A 25,880-nucleotide genomic window follows, 5' to 3' on the forward strand; every position below is an offset into this window, starting at 1 on the left:
AGGAAGAGACAATAAAGTACTTCATGTTCTGAGTTATAAGTGGGAGTTAAACATTGAGCACACATGGACACAAACAGGGGAACAACAGACACCTGGGCCTGCTTGAGGATGTATGGTGGGAAGAGAGAGGAGGTAAAGAAACTAGTTATCAGGTACTATGCTTATTAAATGGGTGATGAAATAATGTATTTAGCAAACCCCTGTGTCACACAATTTACCTATATAACATACCTGCACATATACCACTGAATCTAAAATAATTGTTTAAAAAATTATACATTCTGTGCTATCCTGTTATAGCAGCACAAAATAAATGAAGACAACTGGAAACCCTAAGCTAAGGAAAGCTTCTCTTGCTGGTCATAGACTTCAAGGTCAAAATAGTTACCAGATAAAAAGGGGGTGAGCACATATTGATGAAAATTACAATTTTCCAGGAAGATAAAGTAATTATAATGTTTAAGCTTATATGGGCACATATTAACATTTATTCAGCATATATAAAGCAAAAATGTACAGGCTACAATGAAATTGTAACAAATCTACCATTATAGTAAGAAATTTAAACAGACCTATCTCAGGTATTGACATGAAAAGCAGATCAAAACTAGCAATGTTATAGAAATTGTAAACACAATGAACATGAATGTCCTAATAAACATATTAAGAACATTTATCCAATTATTGGATAATTCTGGATAATTCTTTTTGACATGCAAGGAACATTTTCACAAATTTATCACATACTAGGCCAAAAAGTCTTTAAATATTTCCAAAAGTACCACAGACTACCTTCTCTCACAAGAAGGAAAATAATGTAGCTATTAGTAATAAAAGGAAAATTAAGACAATTTCATACATTTGACAGTTTAAAAGCAAACTTCTAAATACCTCCTAGGTCAAAGAATACTTTATAATAGAAAGTAAAAAAATACTTAGAACTAAATGATAATGAGAATATAAGATAAGTTACGTGGGCTGCAGTTAGAGTACCAGAAAACTTCAGTGCCCTACAACTACTAAAGAAGTCAAATCAATATTTTAAAAGCCTCCTCATAAATAGAACACCAAATACAAATAGTTCTATAAGAAAATATAACAAATGTTATCATCAAATTTTAATTGTATATAAACTTTTTCATAGGTATAACAAAGAGGAAACTTTCCTTAACTCTTTTAAAGCAGTCATTTTTAGCCTTGATAGCTAATGCAGATATGAGTATAAAAAAGGGGGAACTTTCCAAACAATTAGATGCAAAAATCTTAAACTATTTAGAAACCTGATTACAACTTTGTATTTTAAAAAAGACATTATGACCAAGGCACATCAATTCCAGGAATAGAATATATCCTTATGATCTTTATATCTTCCAGCTTCCATCATTTGTGTAGAAAATTCAGTTATTAGTCTTTTATTGCTATTATGAAAGCAATGTTGTTTTTTTTTGGGTGCTTTAAGTAATTGGTCCTTGTCCTTGGCTTTCAGGAGTTCACTATGAGCCAAAATGGGATTTATTTTGCATGTATCTTTTCTAGTTTCTTCAGAATTTCTTGATTTTGTGGGTTAGTTTTAGAAAGTTTTTGGTTATTATCTCTTCAAATATTCCTTCTTCCCCTATTCCTTGTCTCCATTCTTTCTGATACTTCAATTACATGCATGTTACACATTTTTAAAACTATGTCATATATATTTTATGCTCTTTTTTGCATTTATCTTTTCTTTTTTTGTGTGCTTCAGTTAGCATATTTACTCCTGGGAGGGGAATACCTGAAGGCTTGTGCCTTATTTCTCCTGAACTTCACCCCATGTGCCTTTTCTCTTTGTTTATTGTTATCTGTGTCTTTTTGTTATAATAAACTGTGACCATCAATATAACCACTTCTAAGTCCTGAGAGTCCTTCTAGTGGGTCATCAAGCTTGAGGAGGTTCTCAGAGACTCCCAACATGACAACACTTACAAAAGCAACAAAACTAAAAAGTATCCTAGAATATATCTAAAAAAAGATGTGTGATACCTCTAGATAAAAAATCATGAACTTTTCATAAAAACATTAAACAATAATAAAGATATTTCTTTATCTTTATTTTGCAGATAAAATAACACAGATATTTCACATTCATGGATAAGAAAACTCAGTCCTAACAATGTCAAACTGAAAAGTTTTTTATGGAAATTTTTATCAAAATCCTAGCAGAATTTTAAATAAACTTCATGATTCTGAGTTTCATATGGAAAAATAAAGGGCTGAGAATAGAATATCCGAAAGGATTAATATGTTGGGGGAATTTGGCACACCAAATATCAAGAGTTATTATAATCCAATAGCAATTAAGGTGGGAAGATACTGATGCGAGGAAGGATAAATTGTTTAATGGAGCAAGAATTGAGGACTCACATGTATATGGAAGATAATTCTAATTTGATTAATAATTTAAATGTAAAAGTCAAAACTTCAAAACTTTTAAAAGAAAATATTAGAATGTTTGTAGAGAAGGGTTTCTAAATAAACATCTAAAACATAAGAAAATGTTGATAAGTCTACTTCATGAAAATGAAAAACTTCTGTTCATCACAGTATAGCAAGAGAGTAACAATGTGAACCATAATGCCACACCTATGATTAATAAAGAACCGGTTTCCAGAATGCATAAACAACCACTAGAACTATGTAAAATCGGTTAGAAGATAGCCATCCCAATAGATGAAATGGGCAACAAAAGAATAGACATTTCACAATGAACATATGAATTTATGACCAATCTCATTATTAACCAGAGAAATGCATAAGACAGTGAGATACCATTTCATAACAATGAAAAAATTAAATTACCTAAAATAAGATGTTCTAGAGAAGATGTAGATCAATAGGAACACATTTTTGGTGGAAGAGTAAATTGGAAAGCCACTCTGGAGAACAGTTTCATGATAATGTGTCAAGTTGAACATTTGAATACTCTGAGACTCAACAATTCCACGATTAGGTATATAGCCTATAGAATCCTTGTACCCATGTACCAGGAGTCATATATGAGTCTTCCTTGCCAGACTGTGCATAATAATGAAAATTTGGATCAATGTAAATATTCATTGATTGGAAAATAGATATATAACTAGAGTTATAACTTGCAGTATCACATGATGGAATATCACAGAGCTATATCCACCAACATGGATGATTCTTAGAAAGCTAATTTTGCGTGGAAAAAGGTTACATCCATGGTGACTACAAACAAATATAATAAAGCTCAAAACAAGCGAAATGAAACCATCTATTGTTTAGGCATAAATACACAAATGGATAAGCATTTCTAAAGGAAAGAATTGATAAACACAAAATATGCAATGATTGTTACCCCAGGTAAAGGGAGAAAAACGCATCTGGACACAAATACACAAGATCACCATTAAGGTTCTTTTCCTTTTGCTGGTTGGAAAATACGTAAGTGTTTGTTTTAACGTTATGTTCTAAATTGTACATGTGTTTTTATATATACTCTTTTTTTAGTAGGATATATTTAAAATAAATGAAGCAAAGTATTTTCATAACAACAATTAAAACGATTAAATGTAGCTAGTTTTTACAATAATGAACAAATCTCCAGAACAAATAACTACATTATGAATTAGGGAAATGTCTATGTTTCTATTGTCTCATTTATTTTGTACCATTATGATATTCTGACTTATTTTTTTAAGTTTTATTTTTAATTTCTGTTTCTCCAATTCACCAATCCTTTCATGTTCTGACACTTATAATTATGGCCTAAGATGTATTTCGTTTACAAACTATTATTCTTCCAGATAGAAATATATGTGCAAATTGCCTTCCAAATTACTATTCAGACATTTTTCATAATCTGTTCACTAACTTTGAAGCTTGCATTATTTAAATGCCTTAAGCCAAAGACTTTTTTTTGGCAAAGTCTTTTATAACAAAAGATAGCTTTATCAAGCAAAACAATTACAAGGATCCAAGGCTCAAAGACATAACCAGATAAGTCTGTTGATGTCATTGCCTGGCGCCCCCCGCAAGTGGCAACGGACTTCACAAATGAGATAGTGGGTGGTTCCTAAGCACTATTTCCAAACTCCCTCCCACATGACAGGATTTAGTTATTTGCCGAGGAAGATATGCAGTAAAATATTAAAGTCACATGGGGCCAGGTGCGGTGGCTCATTCCTGTAATCCCAGCTCTTTGGGAGGCCAAGGTAGGCAGATCACTGAAGGTTAGAAATTTGAGACGAGCCTGGCTAACATGGTGAAAACCCATTTCTACTAAAAATACAAAATTAACCACGTGTGGTGGCAGGCTACTCGGGAAGCTGAGGCAGGAGAATCACTTGAACCCAGGAGGTGGAGGTTGCAGTGAGCAGAGATCACGCCACTGCACTCCAGCCTGGGTGACAGAGCAAAACTCCATCTCAAAAAAAAAAAAAAAAGAAAAAAAAGTCACATGGATACATTCATTTTTTTTAGAACACATACACATATCTAAGCTGACTCAGTGACTTCCCTCTTTGCTACATAAGACAGGAAAAAATTTTAGGTAATACTCACAATAAGATCTCTTTGTGATTTGATGTTTCGCAAAAGATTCAGGGAAGGAAGCTATTATAAGAAGTTTTGTCTGAAGAGTGGTCACTGGGAGGCTCTGCAATTCACCAAGAACACCTGCTTCAGTGACCCTGATTCAATTTACTCACTGGCTCTCTAACTAGAAACAGATGCTGAGATTGCAGGAGTCACGCAGCAGATGCACTCACTACTACTCTTAAGCTTTCTGAAAGAACAAGAGTTCAGACACTTGTCCTTCTTTGAATTACTGTCTTGTTTGGCATAATAATTATTTAGCAAAATCATCAGGGTAGTATAATATCCTAATATTTGGCTATTCGGCAAGATACATGGCAGTGTGCCAGGGATATAAAAACCCACAGAATAAACATAGCACATTATCCAGGAGTTTTAACTTCATGCCAAAATTTGGAGGTAAATATTTTCATAATTTAATCTGAAAGACATTTAAATTATTTTTGCAGTAAAACAAATACATTGTGGAAGGGTAGTCACAATTTGCATGCTTTTTAAAAGTGAACATTTCAGGTTTTAAACAAATTTCACATTTTTATCCAATCCCCTTGGTGATGTGTTTCTAGAACCCTTAAGACATCTTTTATGGTTACTTCTTGGGCTTTGATGGAAGAAGTTCAAGACTTGCTTCCCTAAATTATTCCAGGATTAGAAGAGACTAGAATTTTCTCAGGGATGTATCTGTCTCAGAACATAAAGGGAAGGGCCAGAGCACCCCAGAGGGTTGACCCTAATGGAGATCAACTTGCTACTTACTGTAAAATAAGTGTTAGGTTCTTTCTTTTTCTTCACTAGTAATCATTTCACTTCCAAAAGGCTGTGCACCTTTGCTGATGAAAAATTAGCAGGAGTTCAGAGAGAAGCCTTTTACTTGAGTGGGCATGGAGAAAAGGAAGTCTTTTTTATTCATTGAGGTCATGACATTAACAGCTCTTCTTAGCAACTGCATCATTCCACAGAGAAGTGGGCCTTTGAGAAGCGGGCAAGGCAATCAGTGAAATATTCTGTGTGGAGAGAGGGGTGGTTGGTTTCAATAGAGTAGAGATAAGGAAAGAGTTTATTTGGGAGAACCAAAGGTTATCACATGGCAGAGAATAGGGAGATATGGTCAGTAATTGGTCAGTGTCAGGAACAGGTGACAAAGACGAATTGCAACCAACTATAGACCAATGGATAGAGAAGACTGGCATACTGAAAGAGGAGAACTAGCAAATTACTCAGGGCAAATAAAAATGGTTTGGGGCCAATGTTGAAGTAGTGTTGCCTGTGTCTCAGTTTCCTCATCTATAAAAATGAATAATACCACCTTTCAGGACCAGGGCCATGTGGGTTTAAAGAGTTAATTCAAGTTATCTGAGACAGTGTCTGGTATCAAGGAGACACTCCATTAATGGCAGTGACTCTTATCATTATTGCTATTTACTTGTATCAAACCAATGTAGACCTCTATGTGGCAAAATAAACCCAAGTATTTACTGATTCATGCAGTCAAAAGTGTGGAAATTCAACATTCAATAAGACACTACCTGTGAGCCACTAGCGTGCTCTGTATAAAATCCTCTGCGGTAGGGACCAGTTTACCAAGTCTTGCACGGCATAGTCTGCAGCCACAAACACAAAAACCAGAAGAAGGTTTCTTCTCCTTTCTTCTTCTTACCTGCTCAGTCTGTAAGAGACTTCCAGCAATCACCCCTACTCACCCCTAGGGCATTATATATATTATTCCTCATAATTTCCAAATACCTAACAATGATTTTATCTACAACAAAGTCTCCTATTTACTAAGTTACCTACCCATTAACTATACAGCCTTGTAATCTCCTTGCCGAGCTGAAGGGCTGCTGCATTTCTAATGGCTCACACCTGCTTTGCATTTGTTTCCAGTTTCAGATCATGTCACTCTTTCGATATTTTCCTCCAGTCACAAGGATGGCTTTCTAAGCCCAGATTTGTGAGCAAAATGTTCTTAGGCCAGTACTTCTTGAACTATAATGTGCATAATAATTACATGGAGATCTAGTTAAAATGCAAATTGTGATGCAATAGATCTAGAGTAGGGCCTGCAAGTCTGCAGTTCTAACAAGCTCTGTGGGGATGTTGATACTGCTGGTCCTCAGATGACAGTTTGAAGGGCGAGGCCCTATACTATAAGGAAGCAGGGTGCACTGTGACTGCTTACTCACTTTTTGCATTTTACAACATCAGGGAGCAGCTCAGCAAAGCGCCTCCATTGGTCCCCCAAAAGAGTCCTAGCTAGTTGTAATGTTTAATGAGTATTTAAAGACCCCAAAGTCCCCGCAAACTCATGCTGCAGTGGTTTCTGGATGCACACTGGGTCGGTTAAATCAGTGTGTATGAGGATTTTGCTAATTGCTGAGGTCAGCTCTCATACCTGTTTACAGGGAAAATGGCATGTATATTTTATAAAAGCACATTGAATTATGTATCTGCAATTACAAAAGATTAAAGAGAAAGTCAACTCCAAAGAAAATTGTTTGTTAGCTGCTAAGAATTTAGTTGACTCCTATCCTCATTCTTCATCTCTTTTATCTTTCTGGAAAACTTGCCCAGCCAACCACAAAATGACCCTGTGATAATCAGCTCTCAACAGGGCAGGGAGACAAGCATTCCCCTCTGTACAAAATACCTTTGTTGCAAAGGTATTTATTTGAAATCTGTCTTTGCTGTTTTCACGTCAACCCTGAAGTTATCTTCCAGAAGAGTGTATGTACATTTTAATCAGCATTATCTCAAGAGGAAATGCTGTACTCTAATTAATGGTTCAAGCAATTGTGCTAAGCATAACAATTGCTTGACAGTCATAGCTTGTGTTAACTGTATAATTGCTGTTTGTGCCTTGCTTATTCAAAAGTCATATTATTATTATCTCCAGATAGTCAGCATTTACTTCCAGCATTCAGAGCATAAGCAAAGTGGTGCCATACAAGTCAGCACTATTTTTTAATATGCTGCATTGCAGCATCTCAACTACCAGTGTAGGGAGGGCGTGGTCATGCCTGCTTGGTGTTTGCTCTGTGTAACAGAGATTAAGATGATGACAGGTTTCATTTTGTGATGCTTTAGAGAATTGTAACATATTAAAGGAAAAACATGGAGTGGCCAATATATTCTGTAAGACACAAGATTTGCCCTATCTCCATTCTTATTCTCTTTATATTTCAGCCTCACCTGAGATAAACTACCTATAGCGTCTACTGAATATACATGCAGAAAGAATATTGAAACATAAAACATCAGAAGGAAATATCACTTTCCAGTGTTGTACTCAGCCCTATTGGAACTTGAGGCAAAAGGTTATTCAGTAACACTGACACTGTCTTTAAAATTGTGACTCCTTCCTCCCTTCCTTCCTTCCGCCCTCCCTCCCTTCCTCCCTTCCTTCCTCCCTCCCTCCTTCCCTCCTTCCCTCCCTCTCTCTCTTTCTTTCCTTCTTTCTTTTTTCTTTCTCTTTCTTTCTTTTTCTTTCTCTTTCTTTCTTCTTTCTTCCTTTTTCTTTCTCTTTCTTTCTTCTTTCTTTCTCTTTCCCTTTCTTTCTTTCCTTCCTTCCTTCCTTCTTTCTTTCTTTCTTTCTTGACACACTTTCACTCTGTTGCCCAGGCTGGAGTGCAGTGACCTGATTTCAGCTCACTGCAAGCTCCGCCTCTCAGGTTCAAGCCATTCTACTGCCTCAGCCTCCCGAGTAGCTGGGATTACAGGTGCATGCCACCACACCCAGCTAATTTTTGTATATTTATTAAATATGGGGGTTTTGCCGTGTTGGCCAGGCTGGTCTTGAACTCCTGACCTAAAGTGATCCGCCCACCTCAGCCTCCCAAAGTGCTGGGATTACAGGCAGGAGCAAGCACGCCTAGCCTGTGATATTCTTCTATGGATTTTGGTTTTTTAAAAATCACATTAAAATATTGTCTTGATCATTGAGTTTTTCCCCCTTAAATTTTGTGCTCAAGATGAGTGCCTCACCTGATTCTTGGCCTTGTCATGAGAGAGGTGATAATCTATTTAACAGCCAAGAAAAGAAGACTTCTGAAGAAAAGGCTGAGTTAATGTCACTATGTATTGGGAAAAAAGAGAAAAACCGACAGGTTGGGTTTCCATGAGTTGGAAATCAAAGCTAATAGGATGTGGATGTTTGTGCTGATTCTTGCAGCTGCAGTGAGCAGAGGAAATGTTCTGAGCACTTTCTCAAAAGGTTCTTCAGTATTTTAACTTAAAATCATCTTACAAAAGAAAAGCCTTTGTTGTGTTTATTTGGGGTCTATTTCATTTAATAGGTCTTCTGTATAGTGATTTGTAACTTTTATCAAAGTTGAACTTTTAATGCACATGTTACTTTCAGACCAAAGTCTTTATCCTGGAAGATGTAGCCTCTTTTTTCATTTTTATCTTGAAATGCCCCTTGGCACAAGCTTAGTTAGGAAGTTGAGTTCAGTGGAGAAAGGACGTATAGTTGATATTATACTGGTAAGCCAAGCTCTAAGTTCACCAAGTCTGTTTTTTTCATGTTAAATTGCAGGAGTAGTATTTGCCACATATACCTTATTGGATTGTTTTCAAAGTAATGCACAGGAAGTTGCTTTGTAAAAAATGACCACCATATTCATTATTATGAGTTGACTATGAATTTACTAAAGAGTACCTAGAAAGCGCTCATCTAGATTAGTCTATATGTAGTAAATTGTAATTAAGGAATACATACAGTTGCAATAAATGTGTATGATTTTATGTACCATCTCTCACTATCTTCTAGTATAGCTAATTCATATCTGGCATCAGTTTAGTGACCAAGACACCCTCTCCCTTTGCTTGGATTATTGCAATGCCTTCCTGCCTGGTCTGCCTGGATCCACCCTTGATATAAACAGCCCCAGCCACTCACCCCCAACCCCACTCCTGCTTACATATATTCTCAACCTAGCCACCAAATTATTTTTTTAATATAAGTCAAGTCATATTACTCTTCTGCCCAACCACCCCCAATGGTTTTCCTTCTCACTAACCATAAAAACCAAACGTCTTATAATGGGCTCTAAGACCCTTCAGAATTTTGCCTTCATCACGTCTCCATATTTATCTTCCATCATTGACTTGTTTCCTACATTCCTGCCACATCGGACTCTTCATTATTTCTTGTCCTGGCCTCCCCTTGAGCAAATTAAATTCTCAAAGCTTCAGCTTCCTTATCTGTAAAATAGGCATAAAAATAGTAATAACTATAGAGGACTTTTTTTTTCAGGATTAAATTAGTTAAAATGCTTAGAACAATATTTATACCTAGTGTTAAAATGTCAATATTATATTATCATAAGTTTTATTACCCTCATCTGATTTTTTGTAAAGTCTCTAATGATTTGACTCCTGAATTGACAATAATCTCTGAAAACTGTCAGAGGCGTTTGAACCAGAGCAACTCCATCTTGAATAGAAGCTGGTTAAATATGGTTGAAACCTACTGGGTTGCATTCCCAGATGGTTAAGGCATTCTAAGTCACAGGATGAGATAGGAGGTCGGCACAAGATAAAGGTCATAAAGACCTTGCTGATAAAACAGATTGCAGTAAAGGAGATGGCTAAAACCCACCAAAACCAAGATGGCAATGAAAGTGTCCTCTGGTCGTCCTCACTGCTACACTCCCACCAGCGTCATGACAGTTTACAAATGCCATGGCAAGTTACCCTATATGGCCTAAAAAGGGAGGGCATCAATAATCCATCCCTTGTTTAGCATATCATCAAGAAATAACCATAAAAATGGGCAACCAGCAGCCGTCGTGGATGCAGTCTATGGAGTAGCCATTCTTTTATTTCTTTACTTTCTTAAGAAACTTGCTTTCACTTTACTCTATGGACTCGCCCTGAACTCTTTCTTGTGAGAGATCCAAGAACCTTCTCTTGGGGTCTGGATCCTGGATTGGGACCCCTTTCCTGTAGCTGAACGGTCACATTACTTTGTTGCTTATTCATATGTTTAAGCATCTTTAAGATCCTCACTGCAGCGAAATAAAGCTCAGAACTTCAAACACTATAAGTATTCCCAGGCCCTTGCTGCTATGTCTTAGATATTTACAGCTTCCCCTGAATTCTTTTTTCTTTATCCTTTGTTTTGGGGAAGGTTGTTTTATGTTTTTCTATTCTCACTTATATTATTTCTCTCCATTTCAGTTTAATATTATTTTTCATTTTTCCTTAATATTCATAATTCAGTTTTCCCCCACACTTGGCACCCTACCCTCTACCCTCTGTCTTCAATTCTTTCCACAATTTTCGCTCCTTCCCTTTTTGCTGTCTCAAGTGAGAACATAGGCACATTTATTTAACCCCACTGGAAATCCTGTGTTTTTGTAGGAAAAGACTTGCTTTCTTGGCAGTGCTAAAAATAAAGTAATTACTGAAGGAATGCATGATGGGGCCAGTTAGTAACCTGATAAATGGAACTTGGATACAAAGCAGAGATGAATAAAAAGACTCACCTGGTCCAGGATACTGGCTTAAAATGAGCCCTGCAGCAAGGCTGACTTGATTATGAGCTCCAAACCAGGAGGCTTTTCTTTCCTCAGTCTAGGAGGCAGGAGTAAGCCTGACAGTGGCAAGAAAGTATCCTCAAGAGTGGGCTAGGGAGGGATGGGGTAAGTTGTGCTGGTAAGGACACCGTGGGAGCAGTGAGCCAGTACATTCCATTCTTACATTTTTTGGCTTTAAAAAACGGAAGGACAGAGCTATATTACTCCATTTCTATTTTGTGAAAAAGTGTAAGCTTAATAATTTTAAAACTCAAGGCTACGTTTGATTTTTCCAAAGCACAATTAAATAAAAAATAGCTCCCTCAGTGGCTCATACCTATAAGAAGCCAAATGGTTTGGATAAAAATACTATTCCCAAGTCACCAGCATCAGCCTGTATAAATAAAATTATTAGGACAGGCAAAGCAATTCAGAGGAAAGAGCATCGCTTGGGGGTAAAATGTTTAAAGAATACTGTGAATTTCACTGTCACAAATTCAAATAAAGTGAGAGTGGAATTCACAGTATTTAAGGAATCAATCCTTGCTGCTTCTGTTTATGAAGCCGAGCTTCAGTTTTCTTGCTCTGACAATGGACACAGTGATTACCTCAAGGGTTGCTGTAGGAGTTAGATGAGATATCTATAATGTAGGAAAGGTGTTTACTACAATGTAACTCATGGATAGGGGCCTATATTGGTTTTCCATTGCTGTGTAACAAATTTCCATAAACTTAGTGGCTTAAAACAACAGACATTTATTATCTTTCATTTCTGTCAGAGGTCCAGGCAACTGAGTGGTTGATATCTCTGTTCAGGGTCTCACGAGGCTGAAATCAAGGTGTCAGTTAGCTGCATTCCCCTCTAGAGACTTGACTAGGGAAGGATTCTTTTCCAAATTCCTTCAAGTTGTTGGTAGAAGTGTTTCTTGCTAGCTTCAATTAGGGATGGATCTCAGCAACTAGTGACCACTCTCAAGTCTTTATTATATGGCCCCTTTTATACTCAAAACCAGCAACAGAGAATTCCCCCTCACATCAAATCCCTCTCACACTTTCAATCTCTATGACTCAGAAACGGGCTCACCTGGCTAGGTCAGACCCACCAGAATATTCTCCATTTTGGCTAGCTCACAGTCGCCTGATGAGCAATGTAATCATAGCAGTGGTATCATACACACAGGTCTGCCTGCACTCAAAGGAGAGTGATTATCAAGGAATGCACACCAGGGGCGGCAGGAATCTGGCAGCTATCTTAGAATTCTGCCTGCCACCATTTCCATTAAGTGATTGTTGTTGTTTGTTACTGAGGCATAGATGAAGTAGCACTTATGCAGGAAAAAAACCACTAGTCAATCAGAATTTCAAGTTGTATGATGAGGTATTCCATAGAAATTAAACATGCGTATAACAGATTCTCATAGGTCAGGACACATGAAAAATTTAAGGAAAGGATGAGGACTCCTTAATTTAGAGGGACTTCTGAAAGGTGACTTAATGATGACCCAACACTATATGTGAAATCATGTTTGGCTTCAAAAGCACTGTGGGCAGAAAAGGAGAAAACGTTTAATCTAGAGTACACAGTTATGGCATTATCTGGAGGGAAGGATAAAGCTACAAAGATTGTTAAAACTAAAATTTGTTGCCAAGGGAGCCATTCGAGCTCTGTCTGGAGATCTTCTAAATGAGAGTAAATTATTCTGTACTTGAGGTGGTTTGGGCACTGTCCTCCCTGAAGCCAATGTAGAGATAAAGTGTTGTTTTCACTCCTTCTAGTCCTGTGATTCTGCGTCTAAGGAGGCAAACCACCTATTGAATCAGTGCTCACCACAGGCTCCATTGCAGCATTGAACTGTGTCTGTGAGAAAGAATAAGGTTAAGTCAGGATTCCTTGATTAAGACGAGTTAATATAAACACTGAAAATCCAGTGTGCTGCCAGCATAGCTTTTGGCAGCATCAACACAGAGAAGAAAGAGCTGTAACAGAATAACAGCAAAATAACTTCGGGTCCTTCCTTCTCCTCCACCCACAAAATCCCATTTGGTGATATGAGAATCTAAATTGCTCAGTGCTTGGATGTTTGGCTGTCACATGTCATTGTTGTGTTGAACCTTCCCAGGCATGTACAGAGCTCACTGCTCAGGAGATTAATGTTCAAAAGCCAAAATGCTTGACCAAACTTGAAATCTATTTGTGGAATTTACTGTTTCATCATTGAACCATGAAAAAATAAATTCAGCAAATATAGTCCTAATACTCCAGCTCATCATGAAATGTCTCTTAATTTCTTGACGTGTCCATGAGTTAGAGACAGCTGAGAAAGGTTTCATTATCTTTGTCTACTTACATACATTCTTTCTCATTTCTTTTTCTTTTTAAAATCTAAGGCTTTTTTTACTTGAGAAAGGAGTTGTTCCGATTACTGTCAGTTTCTCTGGCTGATGTGATTTTCTCATCAGAAGCCTTGAACCCTTCTCCTTTTAACTTGATAGCAAAGAGAAATCATGATAGCTTCTTTTGACATCACTTTACACAAAAACAAACAAAACAAAACAAAATTATCATAAACTGGTAGAACAAGAAGACAGCATGTAGGGAACAAAACAACCATGTTCTTGATTCTAATGAGGTACATGATTTACTCCTACCATGGAAAATTCAAATATCTACCCTTGAACTTCAACAAGCATTTATGACTTGTTGATCTACTTATAGAACTAAATGATTATTTTGCAAAACATCATCTCTGTCTTTAAGTACTCCCTACAGAAGAAAGAAATGGAACATTAGTGTAAACATGATGGTCACTAAGAACTTGTGGACACTGAAGAAAGGCTATGGATAAATGATCCAACAATAAGAGAAAGCTTCTGAGTATGCCTCAGACCAGTGACTGACTGGGTTTTCTGGGAATATATTTTTTGGACAATGGGTCCAGGAAGACAATAATAAATATTGGAAAAACTTCCTACAGTCTATAAAATCCCTTTTATTTAGATAATCTCACTGGGAGGAAGGTAAGGAGAGGGATATTTATTGAGAGTCCGTGACAGAGAGATACACTGTGAGGTACCTTTCAGGTTCCATCTCATTAATTTCTTAAATTGACTCTAAAGAGGAATGTTACCTCAATTTTATAGATGATCTCCAAAATCCTCAAAGCTTTTAAGTAACTTGTCACTCTGCATAAGAATTTGCCTCCAAACTTAGGGATTTTAAAGAACTTTGTTTTTCTTTTTTCTATGTCACCCAGAGTATTTGGTCAGGAAAAGAACTTGCAGTTCTCACTCATAGTCAATTTGTTGGTAGTAGCCACTGGGTCTTCAGTCCTTGGAAGTCTAGACTGGGCTGGACTTTCAAGATGGTTCACTTAATGACTGGCAGATGTGACTGGCTGTCAACTGGGACCTCTCAGGGGACTGTTGACCAGAATACCTACATGTAGCCTCTATAGCATGGTGGTCTTAAGATAGCCCTACTTCTTATATGATGGACAGCCTCTCCAGATAAAGTGTTGCACAAGATCAAGTAGAAATGACCTGACCCTTCTGAGCAGCATCAGGAATTACACAGCATCGCTTCCTCCATACTCTATCGGTTGAAGTAATTAGAAGCCCACCAAGACTTCAGGGAAAGGGACATAAAAGCTATCTTTTGATGAAAGGAATGTCAAAATATTTTGGGGCCATGTTTTAAAATTACCATACTTGCTCAAAATACAACAGCAAGTAAGTGTCCACTAAAATAAAATACAACTCATAATGTGTGATGGACTTTTTTAAAATTTGTAAATGGTGGAAATTGACATCAGTGAGATTAAGGCTAGAAGAACGTATACGTTTGTAAATCAAATCACAGGAAAGGGAAGATGAATATGGCTTTAGTCACGTGTGGTTCTAGGCACCACTGCAGAAGCTTTTTCCATCAACTGCATTTGATTCGCTCTGTATGTTGGCTGCATTTTATCTATTGTAGACCACTATTTTCATAATGCTCCAGCAACAGCAAATGTCATCTAAAGGAAGGAACTCCTGCTCCTTGGTTCAAATTTGACATACTGCAGAGAACAATTTTGATACCTAGTTTTTGTCACATACAATCACCTGTTCAGTCCTTATAGCAGATCCTATTTGAGTCACGTGGTTAGAACAATCCTCGGTATTATAGAAGATTCCAAGGTGAAAGGAATAGAAGGAAAAATGGGTAAAATATGGCCACTCTATAGAAATCAAGAGAATTTACAGTGAATAGTGAACTAACTACCATCTCTTTTTGCTAAGAAACGCTTTGGGACAATTTTGTAAATTTTACAAAGGAAGGAATTAGTCTTTATCTCTCAGCAAACCTTTTGTTGACCAGAGGATCCTTGGAAAACCAAATGAGGGGCTATGTGATTTATCTGATAATGAGCTAGAAATCAGAGCATATACACACATCTTCATTTATGTACCACTTTTCAAGTATATTCACATGATTATTTCATTTACACACAATAGCTAAGTGTTATAGGACAAGTTTTATCTTCATTTTATAGCTAAGAAATCTGAGACCCAGAAAGTTTAAGTGACTTAATCCCAGTTACATAGGGAATAAATAGCAGAGCTAGGACTTCAACTCAGATTCCTCCTCTTAGACCAGTATACTTTTCACCGCGCCACAGGTTCGCCTAATGTAAAACTTAAGTTTCATTGATGACATGATACATGGGTAAAGGTTTTCTCTACTGGAGGTTCCAACCACTTGACTATCTCATCTTAGAGTAGCTGCCTGACAAAGCATTTTGGCTTCTATAGAGTAAATTAAACATGCCCTTTTATGAATGAAATTCATAAAAGTAAATTTCCTTTGCCAAGATTATCCTTCTTAAACATGACATCCCCTTCCGTAGACACCACTTATGGTCTCCCATTACACACAAGCTATTTTTCCTGATGCTCTCCCTCCCCCAACCCCCTTCAACAGGCCCCAGTGTGTATTGTTCCCCTCCCTGTGTCCATGTGTTCTTATTGTTCAGCTCCCACTTATAAGCAAGAACATGTGGTGTTTGGTTTTCTGTTCCTGAATTAGTTTGCTGAGGATAATGATTTCCAGCTCCATCCATATCCCTGCAAAGGACATAATCTTTTTCCTTTTTATGGCTGCATAGTATCACATGGTGTATATGTAACACATTTTCTTTATCAAGTCTATCATTGATGGGAATTTGGGTTGATTCCATGTCTTTTCTATTGTGAATAGTGCTGCAATGAACATATACATGCATGTATCTTTATAATAGAATGACTTATATTTCTTTGGGTATATACCCAGTAATGGTATTCTTGGGTCAAATGATATTTCTGGTTCTAGGTCTTTGAGGTGTCACCACACTGTCTTACACAGTGGTTGAACTAATTTACATTCCCACCAATGGTGTAAAAGCATACCTATCTCTCTGCAGCTTTGTCAGCATCTGTTTTTTCTTGACTTTTTAATAATTGCCATTATGACTGGCATGAGATGGTATCTCACTGTGGCTTTAATTTGCATTTATCTAATGATAAGTGATGTTGAGCTTTCTTTCATATGTGTGTTGGCCATATAAATGTCTTCTTTTGAGAAGTGTCTGTGCAGGTCTTTTGCCCCAATTTTTTTTTTTTTTTTTTTTTTTTTGAGACAGAGTCTCACTCTGTTGCCCAGGCTGGAGTGCAGTGGCACAATCTCAGCTCACTGCAAGCTCCGCCTCCCGGGTTCATGCCATTCTCCTGCCTCAGCCTCCTGAATAGCTGGGACTACAGGCGTCTGCCACCACACCCGGCTAATTTTTTGTATTTTTAGTAGAGATGGGGTTTCACTGTGCTAGCCAGGATGGTCTCGATCTCGTGACCTCATGATCCACCCACCTCGGCCTCCCAAAGTGTTGGGATTACAGGCGTGAGCCACTGCACCCAGCCTGCCCCACTTTTTAATGGGGCAACATACCAGAATCTCTGGGATGCAGCTAAAGCAGTATTAATAGGGAAATTTAGAGCATTAAATGCCCACATCAAAAAGCTAGAAAGATCTCAAATTAACATCTTAACGTCACAACTAAAATGACTAGAGAACCAAGAGCAAACAAACCCCAAAGCTAGCAGAAGACAGGAAATAACCAAGATCTGAGCTGAACTAAAGGAGATATTGATTAAAAATTCCTTCAAAAAATCTATGAATCCAGGAGCTGTTTTTTTTGAAAAAAATTAATAAAATAGACTTCTAGCTAGACTAATAAAGAAGAAAATAGTGAGAAATCACAGAGACACAATAAAAAAAGATAAAGGGGATATAACCACTGACCCCACAGAAATATAGACAACCATTTGAGAATACTATAAACAGCTCTACACAAATATACTAGAAAATCTAAAAGAAATGGGTAAATTCCTGAACACATACGCCCTCCCAAGACTGAACCGGGAAGAAGCTGAATCCTTGAATAGACCAATAATGAGTTCTGAAGTCAAGGTAGTAATGAATAGCCTACCACCCAAAAATGTTCAGGACCAGAGGGATTTACAGGTAAATTCCACCAGAAGTACAAAGAGGAGCTGGTAACAGTTCTTCTGAAACTATTCCCAACTGTAGAAAAGGAGGGACAATTCCCTAACTCATTTTATGAGGCCAGCATCATCCTAATACCAAAACCTGACAGTGATACAACAAAAAAAGAAAACCCCAGGCCAATATCCCTGATGAACATCGATGCAAAAATCCTCAATAAAACACCGGGAAATCGCATCCAGCAGCACATCAAAAAGCTTATCCACCACAATCAAGTCGGTTTCATCCTCAGGATGCAAGATTGGTTCAACATATGCAAATCAATAAATGTAATTTATTACATAAACAGAACTAAAGACAAAAACCACATGTTTATCTCAATAGATGCAGAAAAGGCCTTCAATAAAATTCAACATCCTCTCATGTTAAAAACTCTCAATAAACTAGGTATTGAAGGAACATACCTCAAAATTTATTATTTTGCCATTTATGACAAACCCAAAGCCAATATTATAGTGAATGGGCAAAAACTGGAAGCATTCCCTTTGAAAAACGGCACAGGACAAAGATGCCCTCTCTCACCACTCCTACTCAACATAGTATTGGAAGTTCTGGCCAGGGCAATCAGGCACGAGAAAAAAATAAAGGGTATTCAAATAGGAAGTAAGGAAGTCAAATTGCCTTTGTTTGCAGATGACATGATCCTATATCTAGAAAACTCTATCATCTCAGCCCAAAACCTTCTTAAGCTAATAAGCAACTTCAGCAAAGTCTCAGAAAATAAAATCAAAGTGCAAAAATCTCAAGCATTTCTATACACTAACAACAGACAAGCAAAGAGCTAAATCATAAATGAACTCCCATTCGCAATTGCTATAAAGAGAATAAAATACCTAGGAATACAGCTAACAAGGGAAGCGAAGGACCTCATCAAGGAGAATTGCAAACCACTGCTCAAGGAAATAAGAGAGGACACAAACAAATGGAAAAATATTCCATGCTCATGGATAGGAAGAATCAATACCATGAAAATGGCCATACTGCCCAAAGTAATTTACAGATTCAATGCTATTCCCATCAAACTACCATTGACATTCTTCACAGAAGTAGAAAAAACTATTTTAAAGTTCGTATGGTTTTTTTTTTAAAGTTCATAGGGAATAAAAAAGAGTCTGTATAGCCAAAACAATCCTAAGCAAAAAGAACAAATCTGGAGGTATCACGCTACCTGACTTCAAACTATGCTACAAAGCTACAGTAACCAAAACAGCATGGTACTAGTACAAAAACAGACACATAAACCAATGGAACAGAATAGAGACCTCAGACATAAGACCTCACATCTACAACTATCTGATCTTTGACAAACCTGACAAAAACAAGCAATGGGGAAAGGATTCCTATTTAATATATTGTGCTGGGAGAACCAGCTAGCCATATGCAGAAAATCGGAACTGGACCCCTTTTTTACATCTTATACAAAAATTAACTAAAGATGGATTAAAGATCTAAATGTAAAACCTAAAACTATAAAAACCCCAGAAGAAAATCTAGACAACACCATTCAGGACATAGGCATGGGCAAAAATTTCATGACAAAAACATCAAAAGCAATTACAACAAAAGCAAAAATTGACAAATGGGATCTAATTAAATGAAACAACTTCTGCATAGCAAAAGAAACTATCATCAGAGTAAACAGACAACCTACAGAATGGGAGAAATTTTTTGCAAGCTATCCTTCTGACAGAGGTCTCATATCCAGAGTCTATAAGGAAATTAAATAAATTTACAAGTTTTCTTTTTTTTAATTTTTGCTTTTCTTTTTGTTTTTGTTTAATCCATGGGTGCTTATGAGAGTTTTGATTTGGTTAACATAAGCCAGACCGATTATCTTATAAACTAGGAAGTATGAAATGTTTCTCTTTTGGTATTCCAAATCTCCCTTCCTGTACTTACTTTCCTTCTCCTGTTACTGCAAGTTTATCCCTCCACTGAGAAGAAATTGCTTCAATAAAATTTGTGGTAGAAAAAGAGGATGATGATGATAGTACCTACTATTTAATCAGTGCTTACCATTTACATGTTATTTACTCAGTGCTTATTATGGGGCTAAGTTTGGCTTTAATGCATTATTTTGTTTAATCCTATCTACCCTATGAAATTGATACTGCTATTTTCCCCATTTTTTCAAATGGTAAACCTGGCACTCCCAGATTGAAAAAACCTGCAAAAAGTCCCACAGCTGGTTAGTGGTAGAACTGAAATTCAGTCCCTTATTTATTGGATTCCTAAATCTATTTCCTTTGTTATTCCAATAAACATAATAATGGACTACCAAATTAATTTATTACCTGCTTTTGCAATGCTTTCTTCTTAAAAGAGGAACATCTGTAGAAGCAGTGCTTAATAGAATATTAAGAATTAGAATTGGTGTGGTTCCTAGCGTAATAGGCTAGTACAGAAAATATTTTCAAGTTGCTGAGAAAAGGCTTCCCAGAATCTCCCAAATCACAAATCACACCACGTAGAGAAATATTCTCTGCTTTCTGTGACTGAAATGGGAATTAGGAGACCCAAATAATAGGACCAGTTATGCTATTACCTCTCTAGGCTTTAAGTCTGTAATCTGTAAAATGAGGAAGGAGGAAAAGATCATCTACAGGAATTGATCCAGGTTCAAACCCCCAATCTGTGAAAGATTGATTATATGTTGAAATGAGTATAATGAATGGATCTTAAGGTTATTTGGTAAACCTAAAATCTTAGCTTCTTCTCCTTTCTAAACTCCAGTTTCTTGGGCCTCATATAAGTCTTCTTTGAGGTGAAAGATATCCTGTAAAACACAGTGTAGTCAATTTTTCAGTGAATGTCATTACAACATTACAGCCTTGATGCTAATTCATCTCCTAACCTACTTTCCCAGGACTTGGTAGTAAAGACTTAATGCTGTTTTCAGCCCTTTTCATCTTCAAAGCTCTTACTAAAATGTCTAATTAATCTTCCAAATGTCACTAAGGTAGGCACAATCCAGTGCTGCCACTCCTCTCGGATTCTCTTCATCTTTTCTTGTCAATTGTGGAATTATGGCATTAGAGGAGACCTGGAAGGCTGTTTGGTTGAAAATCATATCTGATGCTTGATTTCCACATTCTTGCCAAGTGTTTATTCAGTGTAAGGGATAATTTGGGGGTGTTCTTTCAGCCCAAGGGCTGAGAATTGCTCACTTTATCTAGAAATCATCCCACCTAAGCAGAACTCCCAGGCAGCTAGGTGAATACAACATGACTCCCCATCCAACTGCTGTTGATTGAACACCTGCAGCAAACTGAGCCAATCAGAGTGCACTCCTCCATAACAGAGAATTGGAATGAAGCTACCACAGTCTCAGTCTAGACTATTTCTTGTGACACAATTAATAACCTTGGAAGTGCTGGTACATCAACCTTCTTTTATGTAAGCTGATCAGCAAATATAGAAGTATTAAGCAGATGTCCAACAAAGAACAGAGATCCAATATGGAGAAAAGAGGTCCCTCTGAATTTCCAATCACTTTCAGCTTACTGGTTACAATCTCTGGCTGAACCTCTGCATTTATGTCAAATTAGCATCCTCACTAATACTTCCAGCCTATTGTGGAACAAGTCCAGTAATAAACAATTAGCTAAACATATATCCATTTATATATACACATATGTACATATATACATATGTATATACAAAATATATATGTATATGTGTGTATATAGTTTAAAATCATATATAATGTCATATCTTAAAATCGTGTGTGTGTGTGTGTGTGTGTGTGTGTGTGTGTATATATATATATAAAATCTTACAACTCCCTATTCTTTTCTTTCCTTCTGGGACTCTTCAGGCCGAAAGAACAACATAGAATCATAGGAGTCATGATTTTTCTCCTTCCTAGAAATGAGAGGTTTGAAGAAGAGATAAGGGGGAAATAGCTGAGTATTTTTCTCTACTATTGCTGGCTTCCTTTGAATCTATTTCTTTCTGATAGCGTGCTTTTTTTTGCTTTATTTTCAGGATGACTACATTATAGTCATCCCCTGCGTTATTGTAATGGGAATGGTAACTACATAAACCCACAGCCTAGTTGATTTGCAAGTATCCATATAAGTAGGAAGAATAAAAATTTTAGAATAGCAATGAATGCTAATATTTTCTCATGTTTCCAGATTTATGATTTGACCTTTCTACGCAACTGAAACAATTATTTAGATTTTTAAATTGCAACAAACCATGTCTTAAAATCATGGACTGTCAGCCTAAATCAAAAGAACGTTACTTAAACTGTATGTCACTGTAAATAACCCCTTTCCGAGTCCCCTGCCTGATGTGATTCAAAAAAGACTGTCAATAAAGTGTAAAGAGTGAGTTTTCAATTAGTAGCAATGACACCTTCATAGAGCCTGGAAATTGAGTACTTAACCCATGGTTAGGTTTTGAAATGTCCTTTTTCCTGACATGAAGTGAATTGTTGTCTCCTCTATATCTGCTCTGCCATCTCTACCCCAATCTTTTCTCTGAGTGTAGCCTAAGAGGCCACTTCCCTGAGTGTAGCCAGGTCTGGGTGGTAGCCAGTTCTGAGTGGTGTCAGTGTAGGAAAGGACTGAAGAGCACGTGGGTAAAAGATGTCACGAAAGGCAGGGATGAGTGGAAGGGAGCTCTAAAGAATAAAGGCCTCTGGCATCAAACTGCAATTCAAACCTCTGTCATGGTTCTGCCTTACCCTAGAGCACCAGGGTAGGGATCAGAGTTCTCTCTGCCTACCCCTGTTCTTCCAAGGCTGTCTAAAATATGTCACCTTGTACTGCATTGGGCAGTAGAGAGATGAGCCCATTCAGTGTGAATAAGAAAGTTCTTCTTAAGAAGACGAGGGATCAGAAATTCACTTTCGATGTCCCACTCAGAATAAATACACTTCCTAGCTGATCTTGGCATTATGCATTTCATTTACTCACTCAGCTTATCAGAAACTGTTTTTCTTTTGTTTTTTGTTTTGTTTTGTTTTGAGACAGAGTCTCGCTCTGTCACCCAGGCAGGAGTGCAGTGGGCGATCTCTGCTCACTGCAAGTTCTGCCTCTCGGGTTCACGCCATTCTCCTGCCTCAGCTTCCTGAGTAGCTGGGACTACAGGTGTACACCACCATGCCCAGCTAATTTTTTTTGTATTTTTAGTAGAGACGGGGTTTCACCGTGTTATCCAGGGTGGTCTCAATCTCCTGACCTCATGATCCGCCCGCCTTGGCCTCCCAAAGTGCTGGGATTACAGGCGTGAGCTACCGCGCCCGGCCATATTTTTTTTTTTAATTGAGCTCCTACTTTGGGATTTACTGGCTAACTATTTATACAGCTGTCTCTACAGTGGTTCTTAAGTTGTGGCTCCTGCATGTCTTAGTCTGTTTGGGCTGCTATAACAAAATACCTTAGACTGGGTCATTTATAAAAAATAGAAACTTAATTTCTCACAGTTCTGGAAGCTGGAAAGTTCAAGATCAGGATACCAACAGATTCAGTGTCTGGTGGAGGCTCACTCTCTGCTTCACAGATGGTACTTCGTTCTGAGTCTTCACACATCAGAAGGGGCAAGGCAGCTTCCTTCAACTTCTTTTATAAGAGCACCAATCCCATTCACGAGGTCTCTGCCCTACTGACTTAAGCACCTCCTAAAGGCCCCATGTCTTAAAACTATTGTTGGGGGTTAGGTTTCAACATATGAATGTGGAGGGGCACCAACATTCAGACCATAGCACTGCATCAGCAACAGCCTTATTGCCTAGAACTTGTTAGCAATGCAAATTCTTAGGCCCCATCTCATTTTCAATAAATCAAAATTCTAGATTTGGGGTTGAGCTCTTGTCTTTTCACAAGCTTTCCAGGTGACTCTGGTGTACACTAAAGTTGTAGAACCATTGCCCTAGAGGCCATAACTTAAGATAGAAAGTCCATTTAAGCCAATACCTTGAAATTATACTCTTCCCCTTCAGCAGTGCAGTAATGAACTAGGTTGGAACTTAAGGCAAAAGTTAAAATCAATAAATTGATTTTGTCTTTATTTAAAGTTTAGATATCTTGTTCATCATATCTTTTTTTTTGCCTTACTTTTGACTTTCAAAAATATTTGTCAGGATTCCTGAGTGTTTTGGTGACCACTTAAATTTAGCACCAGAGATGAGTGCTTCACTCACTGCACCCCCGCCCTGTAGGGAGCCATTCACATCAGGAAGAGAGAACAGACATTCAGAGCAGTCAGCTTCGTATCACCTTGGATTCTGCAGACCAGCAGGACAGTCATTCTGAATGTGGGTTGGGAGGACTCACGCCTCAGCTGTAAACAAACTTCAGCTTGCCCTCTGCTGTGGATGGTCAGGGTAGAATTGCAGGGTCAAAAGATATTTTTTCTGTTTCAGGGATGTAAGCAATAATTTCCAGAGTGGCTGTAGCATCCCTCAGCCCTCCTTTCTTTTGAACGCAATTTAAACCAGAGATGACTACTAATTTATTTATTTCCGAGGGAAGCCATGTTAATCAGGATGAACTAACTTGATTTAATGTGAGTGTCATGTTTACCCGTAGTTACTTTCCATTTTATTCTGCAGTCACGGCTGATTAATCACCAAATTGTGACAAGAGGGAAGTAATTCACACTGCAAGCCTGGTGCTTGTCTCCACCTTCAGTTTCATCTGCAAAAGGGCAGAGTTGCCAAGGGTTAAGGCCTGACACCCGAGTGCTCAATAAACCAACGAACTTCCCTCCTTCTTTTCATTCCTCTTTCATTCCAAACTGCAGGAACAAAGGGAAGAATATAAAAGCCATGCCCATAAAAATGGTAATTTAATTAAATGAACTAAAATGACTCCTTTTCAATAAGTTTTTATTTTGGAATAGAGGCAAGTGGTCAGTCCCTTCTATACCCAGCTAATCTCCTTTGCAGGCACTGAAGACGTTAAACCTACTGGCCTGTTCTGGAATGAATTCTGATCCAGGCTAGGCGCATGTTAGTAGGATCTGGCTCACCAGCTGGTGGCGTAGTAAATACTGTGGTGCTCCCCCAAGATCTCCTCTTTAGATCTCATTCACCCAGTCCCTGACTTCTGGGACTATCAGCTATTGATGGCTCACAGCTGCATTCCTCATTGGATTCACCCTCAGTCTCTGGGATTGGCCTTGCCCAAAGTTACACCCCCTGGCAAAGGTGGCTCACAGCCAGTATGCTGAGGTAGGGAGAAAAAGGCCCAGCCTCCTTGGGACTCAATTTGAGACACAGCGAAGGACATTTCAGCTCCAAAATTCTCCATAGGATTAGCTGAGGCCTCAGTTATAAATCAGTTTCTCTTTTACCCAATCCTGCCCTCCTCTCTTCCTTTAAATTATATCTCTGAGAGCCCACTCCTTCACCCCAACACTATTCATTTGGTATCTCTCGCCAGAGAACCAATGTAACTATCAGAAGTGGTTCTAGTAAGCAGCCTCTAAATGGGCTTCTGGAGACAGATCATTCATTGGCTGGCTGGCAATGAGGATCTCATCACTAGTGGGGATGGGATGGAGAACAAATGGCCCCAGGGATGCTGTGGCAGTGTAGTTAAAACTCTCACTGGTGGCGAACTTGAACAAAATTTTGGTGGAAGAAAATGAACTGGCTGATGCAATTTTTATAGTGCTAGAGACATGTGAAGGAAATGACACCCATAAGAACCATGGGATTGGGTGGTTGATGCTGAGTACCAATGACTCATTGAAGAGATATAATAACAGGCTCTGGGTGGTAAGTCATCAATTCATGACGAAATGTGCAGGCATGAGATAACTCTTTGGCGGTACTTAAGGTATCTCCTGTGGCTGGAAGATCAGACTCAAGATCAGGCTCAGGCTTTAGATCCACTTAGTAGTGGAACTTAAGAGAAGATTAAATTCTCTAACACAGCCGGCTTTCTAGGCCCAAGTTCTACTAGGGAAAGAGTGAGACACTGCAAAATGGGATAGGGATAGGTATAGGTAGATGCATTTGAGAACCTTGAACTCTCAGATTCTCCTGAGTGCACTGGACATATAGAAATGACCCACTCACACTTGTTAGAAGATAGTGGCCCCTTCTTTATTTAAAGATAATGCAGAGGCCTCCAATTAGGTAGATGCTATACAAGATAAGCTTCAGTTATGCTTTCCTGGAAACCAGACCAATAAAAAGGAAGGGTCAAATCCCAGCAAAGTCCATTGGGCCA

At 37.9% G+C, this 25,880-nt stretch overlaps 2 long non-coding RNA genes and 1 other non-coding gene across 5 annotated transcripts in view; 1 reads left to right on the plus strand and 2 right to left on the minus strand.

Moving 5' to 3' along the window:
• Positions 1–470: 470 nt before the first annotated feature.
• LOC102723862 (uncharacterized) lies at positions 471–11,219 on the minus strand. 3 transcript variants are annotated; one of them, XR_001748346.2, is made up of 4 exons: positions 11,082–11,219; positions 9,612–9,795; positions 6,120–6,194; positions 471–5,597 (listed from the first exon to the last, which is right to left on the minus strand). It is a non-coding gene; the product is annotated as an uncharacterized LOC102723862 (long non-coding RNA). The 3 variants fall into 3 exon arrangements; XR_001748345.2 differs by lacking the exon at positions 6,120–6,194; XR_001748344.2 differs by having other exon boundaries at positions 471–6,194.
• Positions 11,220–11,573: 354 nt separating this feature from the next.
• On the plus strand, positions 11,574–11,648 carry MIR4693 (microRNA 4693). Its single transcript, NR_039842.1, has one exon. It is a non-coding gene; the product is annotated as a microRNA 4693 (primary transcript).
• Positions 11,649–22,975: 11,327 nt separating this feature from the next.
• Positions 22,976–25,880, minus strand: part of PDGFDDN (PDGFD downstream neighbor) — a 45,563-nt gene continuing 42,658 nt past the window's right edge. The window contains exon 3 of the long non-coding RNA XR_001748348.2: positions 22,976–24,338. This is a non-coding gene — a long non-coding RNA (PDGFD downstream neighbor). The remainder of the gene's footprint in view (positions 24,339–25,880) is intronic.

This window comes from Homo sapiens, chromosome 11 (assembly GCF_000001405.40).
Source record: "Homo sapiens chromosome 11, GRCh38.p14 Primary Assembly".
Classification (NCBI taxonomy): domain Eukaryota; kingdom Metazoa; phylum Chordata; class Mammalia; order Primates; family Hominidae; genus Homo; species Homo sapiens.